General features: G+C 47.1%; 1 pseudogene across 1 annotated transcript in view, besides 1 other annotated feature; it reads right to left on the minus strand.

Annotated features, from left to right (window-relative positions):
• Positions 1-3,484: 3,484 nt before the first annotated feature.
• FAM169BP (family with sequence similarity 169 member B, pseudogene) overlaps positions 3,485-12,672 on the minus strand; it is a 77,175-nt pseudogene continuing 67,987 nt past the window's right edge. The window contains exons 6-7 of the transcript NR_171054.1: positions 7,394-7,485; positions 3,485-6,073 (exon numbers count right to left, since the gene is read on the minus strand). The product of NR_171054.1 is annotated as a family with sequence similarity 169 member B, pseudogene (transcript). The remainder of the gene's footprint in view (positions 6,074-7,393; positions 7,486-12,672) is intronic.
• Positions 7,532-7,581: a silencer, noted in NCBI's record as "silent region_6853". NCBI's record gives its function as "represses an Ori minimal core promoter by ATAC-STARR-seq in GM12878 lymphoblastoid cells {active_cell/tissue: GM12878}" and the evidence as "EXISTENCE:reporter gene assay evidence [ECO:0000049][PMID:35858748]".

The following is a 12,672-nucleotide window of genomic DNA, read 5'->3' on the forward strand; positions in this document are numbered from 1 at the left end:
AGGTGGCCAAGGAATTTCATGGCTTTTCAAGATGGAAACTTAGATACCTAACTTTAAAACTTCCAGCCGCTAAGCATGCTTTCCCTAGAAAGAGAATTAAATCAAATGCAAAGATTGCTTCTTGCAGAAAATGGGGATTTTAAAAATTATCTCATAATCCATTGACCCCCTGAGGTTTCTGGAAGTAGCCAACAAGTTGAATTTATTTCTTCCTCATCCCGAAGGGCTTGTTCTCAAAGACTTTCTGGAACAAAATACCCAATGCTGGGAGAGTCTCAAAACCCTGCTTCCTGAAATATAACCTGTTCGAAGGCTCCGTGCATAGCAGTGAGTGTCCGTCACCACTGCCAGACCCTGGTCCGGAATGCAAGCTTCCGAGTGACTATGGACTCCCTGCCTGAGCCCATTCGTGAGTGTGGGGCAAAGCAGCCCTCAGGACAGTGTGACTGTTACAGGGCATGTGCATCTGGCCACTGCCTTTGAAGAACGTGGGATCCAGAAACAGCCTTGTTCTAAGTCATGACTTCTTTGTGGATTTCCCACGTTGATTTCGGAGTCAGATCACTTTCTCCCCAGTAACTCCTTTTAGATGGGAATGAAAGAGCAAGCATTTAAAAAAAACACACAGCCGGTCGTGGTGGCTCACACCTATAATCCCAGCACTTTGGGAGGCCGAGGCAGGTGGATCACCTGAGGTCAGGAGTTCGAGATTAGCCCGACCAACATGGAGAAATCCTGTCTCTACTAAAAATAATTTTTAAAAATCAGCCAGGCGTGGTGGTGCATGCCTGTAATCCCAGCTACTCGGGAGGCTGAGGCAGGAGAATCGCTTGAACCCAGCAGGAGGAGGTTGTGGTGAGCTGAGATCGAGCCATTGCACTCCAGCCTGGGCAACAAGAGCGAAACTCCATGTCAAAACACACACACACACGGACACACACACACACACAATATTTACTACTGCAACTGTCTTGCTTTGTTCAAGCAACAAAGAGAAAATAATTGGACATTGTCAAAATTAAAACTAGGCCAGCATGGTGGCTCACACCTGTAATCCCAGCACTTTGGGAGGCTGAGGAGGGAGGATCACTTGAGATCAGGGGTTTGAGACCAGGCTGGCCAACATGACAAAACCATCTCTACGAAAATACAAAAATTAGCTGGGCATGGAGGTGCACGCCTGTAGTCCCAGCTACTGGGGAGGCTGTAGTGGGGGGGATGGCTTGAGCCCGGGAGGCAGAAGTTGAAGTGAGCCGAGATCACCCCACTGCACTCCAGCCTGGGCGATAGAGCAAGACCCTGACTCAAAAACAAACCAAACCAAAACAAAACAAAACAAAATTAAAACTGTACTTCAAATGACATCAATAAAATGAAACGAGAAACCAAAGAATGGGGAAAAAAACTGCAAATCGTATATCCAAAAAGGGATTAAAATCAGAATTTATAAAGAATTCTTACAAATCAACAAGATAAAAACAACGCAATTCAAAAATAAGTGAGGATTTGAATAGACATTTCTCCAAAGAAGATAACACAAATGACTGAAAAGCTGTTTGACATCAGTAGTCACCAGGGCAATGCAAATCAGCACCACGGTAAGATGCCACTTCCCACCCACTAGGATGGTGGCTGTATCAAAAAGACGGAATAGGCCCCGGGCGCGGTGGCTCACGCCTGTAATCCCAGTACTTTGGGAGACCGAGGTGGGTAGATCACGAGGTCAGGAGTTCGAGACCAGCCTGGCTAACATAGTGAAACCCCATCTTTACTAAAAATACAAAAAATTAGCCAGGCATGGTGTCAGGCGCCTGTAATCCCAGCTACTTGGGAGGCTGAGGCAGGAGAATCGCTTGAACCTGGGAGGCGGAGGTTGCCGTGAGCTGAGATCACGCCATTGCACTCCAGCCTAGGGGACAAGAGCGAGACTTTGTTTCAAAAAAAAAAAAAGATGGAATAAGTGTTGGCTGGGATGAGGGAAGCGGAAACCCTCATACCTGGCTGATAAGAATGTAAAATGGTGCAGGGACTTGGAAAAATAATTTGGCAGTTCCCCAAAATGTTAAACATAGAGTTACCATATGACCCAGAAATTCCACTCTCAGATGTGTACCCAAGAGAACTGAAAACATATGTACACACACAAACTTGTATTTTGTTTTTTTTTTTTTTTTTGAGACGGCGTGTTGCTCTGTCGCCCAGGCTGGAGTGCAGTGGCACGATCTCGGCTCACTGCAAGCTCCACCTCCCGGGTTCATGCCATTCTCCTGCCTCAGCCTCCCGAGTAGCTGGGACTGCAGGTGCCCGCCAGCACGCCCGGCTAATTTTTTTGTATTTTTAGTAGAGACGGGGTTTCACCGTGTTAGCCGGGATGGTCTCGATCTCCTGACCTCGTGATCCACCCGCCTTGGCCTCCCAAAGTGCTGGGATTACAGGCGTGAGCCACCGCGCCCGGCCATAAACTTGTATTTGTGTATGTGTATATTCATGGCAGCATCATTGATAACTACCAAAACCTCAAATCAATCCAAATTACATCACCTAGCGAATGCCAAAATACAGTGTTCTACATCCATACCACGGGACGTTATTTGGCAATAAGAAGGAGTAAGAACTGATGACACGCACCACAACACGGATGAACCTTGGAAAAATTATGCTACGTGAAAGATGCCAGCTGTGAAAGACCCCGTATTGTGTGATTCCACTTACATGACATACCCGGAAGAGGCAAATTTATATATAGATTAGTGGCTGCCGAGGGCAGGAGGAGGGGGTAAGTGGGGAGTGAGAGACTCATGGGCGCAGTATTTCATTTTGGGGCACTAATGGTGGTGATGAGGGCACAGCTCTGTAAATATACTAAAAATCATTGCATTATTACTTTTTTTTTTTTTGAGACAAGGTCTCACTCTATCACCCAGGCTGTAGTGCAATGGCACGATCTCCACTCGATGCAGCCTCAACCTCCCGGGCTCAAGCAATCCTCCCACCTCAGCCTCCCAAGTAGCTGGGACTATAGGCGCAGGCCACCACACCCGGCTGATTTTTGTATTTTTGTAGAGTCAGAGTTTCACCACGTTGGCCAGGCTGGTCTTGAACTCCTGAGCTCAAGTTATCCACATGCCTCTTCCTCCCAAATTGCTGGGATTACAGGTGTAAGCCACCTCGCCGGGCCTGAATTATTACTTTAAATGAGGGAACTTTAAGGTTTGTAAATAATATCTCAATACAGCTGTTAAAAAATAAGAGACAGGAACACAGAAAACCGAAAAATAAAATTGATTTAATAAAAACAACACAACACACACAAAGATGTGCATTATGGGCAGTCCTGCACACACTGCTGGAAGGGACCCCTGCACACGGCCTCACAGCTGGCATGGACTGGGCAGGAGGTTGCTCTCAGTTCCACGGCATTGCCTTCTAACTTGTGTGGTCAGTACATATGCCCTTAAACAAAGCCATCAATACATCAGCTGTTCTTCCCTGAGAGGTTTCTTTTATTGAATAGTAACTTCATCAAACCCCTGAGACATTTTTAAACATTTATTTTCATGTAAACACAAAATACTAACCATTCATCTCAAATAGCACAATGCTCACAGCACACACATCCCATGTGAAAGGTTACATCTGACACCACACACAGGGCACCCTCTAGGCTGTAGACTTCACTCTCCTTTTATGGTCTGTGCCACCTGCACAGAGAGCCCAAGTATAAGGGGCAGGGGGGAGGCAGGCTTCATGATGTCTCCATATGAATCTCTAAACTATATTTCTAGTCAATTGGACCCTTCCATCTTTGTAATGGGTGCAAGAGAGATGAAAACTCCAGTGGAACACTCCAGAAGAGATTCCTCCAAAGAGAAGAGAGTTTCCTGAGGCCAGTATCCATACCTCACTTATATCCCCTGTCCCCAGCACAGAGCATGTCCCTGAGAAAGCATGCTGAATATCTGTTGTACAACAGAATGGATGGATGGATGGATGGACGGATGGATGACGGATGGAGGATGGATGGATGGATGGAGGATGGGTGGATGGATGGATGGATGGATGATGGATGGATAGAGGATGAATGGATGGATGGAGGATGGACGGATGGATGATGGATGGATGGATGATAAATGTATGGATAGATGGATGGCTGGATGAAGGATGGATGGATGGATGGATGGATGGAAGATGGAGGATGGATGGATGGATGATGGATGGGTGGATGGATGGATGGATGGGTGGATGGATGGATAGATGGATGGATGGAGGATGGATGGATGGAAGATGGATGGAGGATGGATGGATGGATGGATGGATGGATGATGGATGGAGGATGGATGGATGGATGATGGATGGAGGATGGACGGATGATGGATGGATAGATGGATGAATGGATGGATGGAGGGATGGATAGATGGATGATGAATGGATTGAATAGATGGATGGTTAGGTGGATGGATGGATGATGGATGGATAGACGGATGGATGGACAGAGAGATGGACAGCTGGGTGCATGGATGAATAAATAACAGGTCCCACCATGTGTGTCCTTTGACTGCTCAAGGGAACAGACGATATATTCCCAGAACTTGGGACTGTTGGTAGTCTCCTCATCAGGCCACAGGAGGGGCTTTATTACATCCTAAAAAGGTAAAACCCTCTTCTTCTGTCAACAAAGTAACCAGGCAGCCCAGGGCTGATCCTGCAGCTGAACTCCAATGGCAAGGAGCAGAGGCAGCAGGGCCCCTGGCTTCTCCAAAGTCAGTGATGAGCACAGAGGGGTTTGGGATGTCCTCGGCAATGGGATTGGATTTGCATTTTCCCAAAAGCAGGGGCAAGAACTTGGGTCGTCTGCCTCAAGAGGGCCTGACCAGCTTTCTCTGGGAAAAATCCTACTGAAATCAGCAAGGCTGGGCCCAATAGCAGAGAAAGCACCACCCCACCTCTCGGGGAGCAGGCTTTGGGCTCCCTAAAGCAGCCTGGATTTGCGCCCCACCCTTGAGGAGGGCAGGCGGCCCTGGGACAACTCTGCCTAGCCCATTGGACCTGGGGCCTAAGAGCAGGTCCTTGTCTCTGCATCCCAAGAGCGGCCATACACTATAGCGACCAAACAGGGCTCCATCAGTATTTGAGAAGGGGGAAGCCAATGTCACATTCGAGCCAGGCTATCATTTTCAGTTACTTTTACTACCACAAGACTTTCCACTCAAGGCCACCAATATTCTAGAAGCACCATCTGCCCAAATTCCTACCCAGTACTTCCCATATGAGCTCTCTGAGTGCCTTCTGTATACCAGGCCAGAAGAGAGCTCCAGGCCTACAGTAGGCACCATCCAGCCACTGCCCCTGCCCTCAAGGCACTCATGTGCCTTGAGGCACATCAGCACTGATGTGGCTGAAGCCTCCCGGGAAAGGACACGTGTACCCCTGCAAACCTCTTTGGTGTCCGGAAAGGACACGTGTACCCCTGCAAACCTCTTTGGTGTCCGTGGTCTCACGGCAACAGCAGGGCTGGCATGCACAAACCTGCAATGGGTTTCTACAGCCCAGATGGAACGGGTGTGGCCCCTTCCTGAGCATCTTTAAACTTCTATAAGGAAAGAGGTACATTCAGTAAAACATCCCTGTGGTTCCGGTAAAGTCCCACCAATTTATCCTGAGAAACAGAAACCACATTAGTTTTAACGAGTAAGCTTCTGAAACGTTTAGGAACTGTCAACAATTAACTTAGGGAAATACTTCCTCACTGTGGCACGGTGTCGCATGCTGAGCGCAGCACGTTCTCAGGTACTCTAGAGCCTGAGCCCACCTCAGAGGTAGGTGGGGCCCGTGGGGTCACTGGCCCCTCAAAGATCCCCAGGGAAGGTACACTCCCAGACACACAAGTCTCAGACCCGAATCCTGGGAGCCCAGGCAGGCCTCTGGACCTGGCCCAGATGGGCGTCTGGAGACGTCAGGGACTGGACCTTGTAAGCTTGCCTGGTGGCTGCCCTGCCAGCCCGGCATCCTCCTCTTCCACTCCACACTCTGGATCATCCTTTGTGTCTTCCAGTTCTTCTCCACACATCCTCTCCTGAAGTCAGAAAAGAATCCACAGGCATTCCAATTAAACATGGCAATGGGGTCGTCCTGCACAGTCTGGGGCTGGACATTCAGGACATGGAGGTGTCCTGTCTGGCTTGTGCCTGCACTTCCTGCTGAGATTCAGAATAGGCCAGGTTCAAACGCTCCAGCCAGCCATGGGGAAATCAGGTTTTGTGCATAAGAGCACGTATTTACTGAAAGGAACTAAAGGACAGCCCAGCCTGGGGAGACCAGAGAAAGGGCAGGGAAGGAAGCACTGCTTTCAAAGCTGGCACCCCGTGCTCAAATGTGCAGAATTCCCCCAGGTCCACACCCATGGGCGTTACAGTACCTGGACATTTCTGCTTCCTCTAACAGGTTTAAAAGAAAAGTCAAGGATCAGCGGAAAAGGCCAAGTGCAACGCTCTCTGTTCAGTGCCTGTTGGGTCTTAGGTTAGCCCATCTTTCCATGGTGAACCAAAGAAAATGAAAGCCCTCATCTGCCAGATGGCTAGAGCTAATGTCAGACAGGAAGCAGCTTTCTAAAACAATCCAGCACTTACTGGGATATTTTCTGCTTTCATTGTTGAATCTTCTATTTCAGAGCAATATATTTTCCAAAATAAGCAGTATTTGTCCATGATGTACAAGCGTAAGTTTAAAGTAATTTTGGACTCTTTAGGGATTTGAAAGTAAAGACCCTTTGGCACCAGAGAATGGACATTTTCACAATACCCTGTTTGGTCAAGAGTCTGGTTTAGCCACAAGAAAACCAGGAAAACCTAAAATTTTATAAAATATTGAATGACAGCAAGCTACTAAGAAATATTCTTAATATTCCCTCAAGATTCTATTCTACAGTCACTCTGGATTGTACAAAAACCTAATACCTAATTCCACTCCATCCCAGCAATCTGGGCTTTTGCAGTGGAGGAGGAAAGAAAGACAAATTTGTCTTGCTTTTTGTTCTGCTTGACAGACACTGGTCCATGGCAAAATTTGAAATTCAGATTTTTCAATATTTCCTTAACGATGCAAGGTTACGGCCAATTCCCATGTGTTCTGTTCCATTTTGGTTTCGTTAGAGCTTGTCTAGTTAAGAGAAGAGAACCATAAAAAATCTAATTACAAAGGCCTCTCCACGCAACACCCCCCTCCCATGATAGCCCGGAGATTCTGAGCCTAGACCAAGGCCCTGCTGCCACGAGAAGCCCACAGCCAAGTCGTCTGGGAAGCTGCCTGGCAGGTTCAGACCACGGCTTCACTAAGCAAGGACAACCTGATCACTAGGAAAGTGAGAGGTTCATGGGGTGATATAGTATCACCATACCTTGCTGCCGTCTCCAGGGGCAGGCTGTCTGGGTCTGTCATTCTGAGAAGTCCTCGCATGACGGCTCACGTCCTCGGAATTTCCTGGGTGTGCTGCCCTCCCCAAGCAACAGAAAGAGGATAAGCAAATGAGGGTGGCTCCCAAGGGGCTGGACAATCAAAAGAGGAAATAGTACACTGGGGACCTTGCAAACATGTTGATAGCCATGACCCAATTCTATCTCTCTCTCTCTCTTTTTTTTTTTTTTTTTTTTTTTTTTTTGAGATGGAGTCTCCCTCTGTAGCCCAGGCTGGAGTACAGTGGCACCATCTGGGCTCACTGCAACCTCCACCTCCCGGGTTCAAGTGATTCTCCTGCCTCAGCCTCCCGAGTAGCTGGGATTACAGACGCCTGCCACCATGCCTGGCTAATTTTTGTACTTTTAGTAGAGATGGGGTTTCACTATGTTGGTCAGGCTGGTCTCGAACTCCTGACTTCAAGTCATCCTCCTGCCTCAGCCTCCCAAAGTGCTGGGTCAGTTCTATCTTCTTGACCTTCACTTTGCCATTTGCTGCAATGCTCTCCAGAAGACAGGAGTACCTGCCAGGTGTCAGGAGATGCAAAGTGAGGTTCCACTCAAGCATTTCTGAGCTGGAATTGTGATCTGTTCTTCCATCGATTCTGGCATTCAATGGACTCACATTTCCAGTTCTAGTCCTGGATCCTTCTTTTTGCTCACCGGTGGTTTTGCTCACAAGAGAGGTCATAATCACCCACGTTCAGTGAGTCTCCCTCCTCTCCTACCAAATCAGTACCGACTTGGAAAGGGATGACTTTCTTGTCCTCCTTTGCACCTCCACACCCCACGCCCCCAAATCCATATGTGTGTGTGTGGTGTTCAGATCCCTAAAAAAAATACACAGTTTTGCATTTCAGCTGAAAATACCTATGTAACACATTTTGTTTACTAAAGAACAAATGAATTATTTAGTTGTTATCTATATAAGTAAATTTTTAAATTTATTTACAGAACTGTATAAATTAGCAAAATTTGGTTTGGCAAAATTTAATTGTGGGCACTTAAAAATACCAGCACACTTGAGTTCTCTCGGCCATAGAGTTTTTATATCACACAGTAGTAGGTGCCCATGTAGTTAGCTGGTAAATAAGTTCAGAAGCCAGGTCAGCCCTGTTCATGACTGCATCCCTAACGTCTAGGACAGTGCCTGGCACGTCTGTAGATGCCCCATTGACAGCGAATGAACGAATAAAGGAATACATGAATGAATGAATGAGAAAATGAAGTAGATAACCCATTATCAGTTTTCCACCTTTCCTAATGTTTTTATGTGTTGTGAGCTATCAAATGTTTACTTGTATTTCATTCCTAATTGAGGTTCATTAAATCTTTAAAAATGAATGCACTAATTACTCATTTGGAAGCACACCTGGAGGTATCAGAGCACTAATCACAGAGGTAAGTTATCATCCAAGGCTGCAGTAGACGACAATGGCCACTAAGGGGAGCCACACAACCTGTCAAAGAGCAGCATTCGACAGAAAAAAACACACCCAGTATGGTGGTTTTGCCCCCAGCACTTCCCAGCACACTGCACCACCACAAAATTGCTGTTGCTATTGTACTCTATAACGTATGAGTCACCAGAACAAACTGAGAAAAAAGGTCAGAACTGCAGTTTGCTGGGCATCAAACTTTCAAAAAAGTAGCCCCCGCTTCCCTTCTCATATTTTTCACATCTCTTGATGCAAAGATCCTTCTGGTTTAAAAATTAAATGCAAATAAAAGTATTTGTGGATGACAACTGAATCCATTAAAAATTCAGCTGGAGAAAGAAAGCAAAAGTATGACTTACAGATTGAAAAAAAATTAATTTTTAAAGCAGTGGTCAATTATTTCCTGATCCCGGCAACAATTTTGTAAAAGAACATTTCACTGTTGACATATTCAGTTTCACTCTCTCTGGTAAAGAAACTTAAGGCATGTTCAGGCTGACCGGGAAATCACATCAGATGCAATTATGATCCTATTGGTCAAGTTTCAAAGGCTTTGTCTGTAACTGAGTGTAGGAAGAAAGAAATTTCCCACAAACTCCTTCCCTCAAAAGGTCTGCATAACCTGTAAATATTTTCAGGGCCATTATAAGCTGCAGATGTTATCAACAGCCAAGATCGCACAAACTTTTAAAGACCTGGCCCACCAATCAGGCTGCTTCAGAAATAGTCTTTAAAACATTTGCAAGGAGCACAAGTTAATTTCCCTTTGAAATGTTGTGAAATGTTCATGCCTTATTTAGAGCAAGAAGCAATTGATTCCACTGGGCTTCTTGCTTACAGTTCTATTTCTATGGCACATAAAATTATAGGATACCTCCAAAATAACCGTCAGGAAAAAGAAGGGAGAACAGATAAAACTTGAAAAAAACAGAACAAGTCAAAAAAGCAACTCTAAGAATCACTGACTAATTTAAGACTAACATCCAATTAATGGCCTACTGAGATTCCCAGGGAAGAGAAGGTTCCGGAATCTGCATTGTTCGGTGACCCATAAGAAGTTCTAATCCACTAACACTTGCTGATTTCCATGAAGAGAGAAACAGACGAGAAACTGCAGAGCACCGAGCTAATCTGTGATCACATTTGCAGCCCCAACTCACCAACTTGAAAAAAACCTGAGATGTCAGCACTAACTGTCATAATGGTTGCAAGCTGAAGCCGGTTGGCTGAAAACCTTCCTGAGTGAATTAAAATCCTGACTGCGGGCCCTCGAGGGGAAAGAAGATGTGGGTGAAACTGGGAACTAGCCATGATTTATACAGGCAGTGAAAAGACCATAACTTAGAATTTTTTTTTAAATAAAGAGTTTTAGTAATCTAATTATATCCTAATTATAATGATAACCCTTCTTCCTTCAAGGGACTCAAGCATGCTTCTGGAACATTCTCTGTGCAAGTCCCCTCATTTGCTGTTTTAAAATGAGAGTTGGTGAATCTCAGAGTGAATTAAAGTGACATGTTTGGCATCTGACTTCCAGCTCAGTTTCCTCTGCCCAGACCACACCGACTCCCAGCTCTTGAAACAGCCCCAGTGGGATTCTCCAGGAGGAGCCATCTCCCCAATTAGGAGAAAACATCCTCGTCCCTGCTCACCCCTCTGGCCCGTGCAATTTCCACATTTCAATATGCAATGCATTTTCTTTTTCCATTCCCAGCCAAGGAACTGAAACATCCAAGCACAGAGGCTGTGCGAGGCCCCACAGCCTCATTTGTGAAGCGTGTCCATAAACTCCAACAGCTAGACAGCTCAGTGCCCAGGGACCCGACCGGCTTCCCTTCATTCCTAACTCAGTGCCACAGGGCAAGTCACTTAACCGCCTCATTAGGATCACAGCACAGCCCCGCCCTGCCATGCCTCCTTCCCCGGTGCCTGCTCACCCCATTAATATCTGTAAAGATCCATTAAGCCTTCCAGCATAAAAGCAAAACTGATCACTATTATCATCAATAAACTCCAAGGCACGCTCACCTGTCGACACCTAAGGTGGATCAGTCACCACGTGGAGAGAAAGCCTGGCACCTCGGCTGCCTGTCAATCCCCTAATGAGCCACATGCAGCCGCAGAAATGGCATTCGACGCTGACGGGAGCACCCACTCCAGGAGTGAAGGAGAGCCAGGGCTTGCATTTTGGACAGTTAATTTAAATTAACTGTCCCCCTCACCTCCCACCCATGGCAGCACCTGAAGCCTGGAGGTGTCCGCTGCCCCAGCCCTGGCCTGGCCTCGCCTCTTAGTGCTGAGCTGAGAAGCGCTGAGCTGAGAAGCGCCTGCCATGGGCAGCCGTTCCCCATTTGTGAGAAGTAGAAAGTTCACTGTCAAAAAAGCAACTTGGGGTCGGGCGCGGTGGCTCACACCTGTAATCCCAGCATTTTGGGAGGCCAAGGAGTGCGAATCACCTGAGGTCAGGAGTTCAAGCCTGGCCAATATGGTGAAACCCCATCTCTACTAAAAATACAAAAATTAGCTGAGCATGGTGTCACATGCCTGTAGTCCCAGCTACTCGAGTGGCTGAGGCAGGAGAATCCCTTGAACCCAGGAGTCGGAGGTTGCAGTCAGCCAAGGTTGCGCCACTCCACTCCAACCTGGGTGACAGAGCGAGATTCTGTCTCAAAAAAAAAAAAAAGAAAAGCAACTTGGAAACCCAGACACTGCAAGCCTGCTTTCCCATCTGGCTGATCAAAGGATTTCCCACCTGCTGCCTCCCCTGGAAACCCACCACCAGAGGCTCTGTTCTCCTGCTTCCTCCACTAAACCCCACTGGCAAACTGCCACTGGGGCACTGTCTCGAGCAACCAGAAACTGAAGACGGAATGCGCATCTGTCAACAGGGAAATAAATGACATCACGTCCACGCGACATCATACTATGCTGCTGTGAAAAAGACCAGGCAGCGGTTTTGTAGAACGTTGTCTCTGTGATGCTGCCATGACGTGTGCAGTCCCCTCAGAGGTGAGGAGGATAGAAGACTTGCTTGTCATAGTCAACTCTTTTGAGTTTTCAACCAAGTGCACACTTTACCTTTCATCACCTGTTCAGAATCGTGTTTTCAACTCATCTTCAGCTAGGCAGAGGAAACCGATCTTCTTATATGTTTCAATAATCTATCTAATTGTAAAAGGGAAGTCCCTTAGTCCCAGGGAGCTCCTAACTGCTAAACTGGGGGTGATCTTTTTGAGCAAGAAGGATGGGAAGGTGTGCTTCACTCAGGAGGGGAACGTTGGAGGATAAGATGTCCTCACCCAGGTCCCACCCCTCCTTTGTTCTTGCCACAACAGAAATAACATCTATATGGGTCTCATTGGATCACTGTAAATCCACGCTAGTATTGAAACCAGAAATAAATAGACACAGTGCAGTGTTTCAGTCCTACTCAGTCTGGAAGCCTTGCCTGGTGAAGCTGAACCTTTAGCCAGATATTGGTGCACTGGCCCCAGGCCCCCCGGCGCTCCACCTCCCACAGGCGTCCTCGCTCCTCCAGACAGACCAGCAGGAACTGCCTGCAGACTGGGAGAAGAGAACGCAGCATGAGTCAGGAAGTCCCCCACCTCATCCTGGTTCACTCTGCACCAGCTCTCTGGGTCTCCGACACAGCCCACTCCAGTCCTCGAGCAGCCCTCCACCCCCTGATCTCTGCTGGAATCCCTGCTGCACTCAAACCACCTTTGCGACTGCCTACCATGGACAGGTCCACCTCCCGGCTTCTCCTGATGAGGAGCTCTCATCTC

Source organism: Homo sapiens, chromosome 15 (assembly GCF_000001405.40).
Source record: "Homo sapiens chromosome 15, GRCh38.p14 Primary Assembly".
In the NCBI taxonomy this organism is placed as follows: Eukaryota; Metazoa; Chordata; class Mammalia; order Primates; family Hominidae; genus Homo; species Homo sapiens.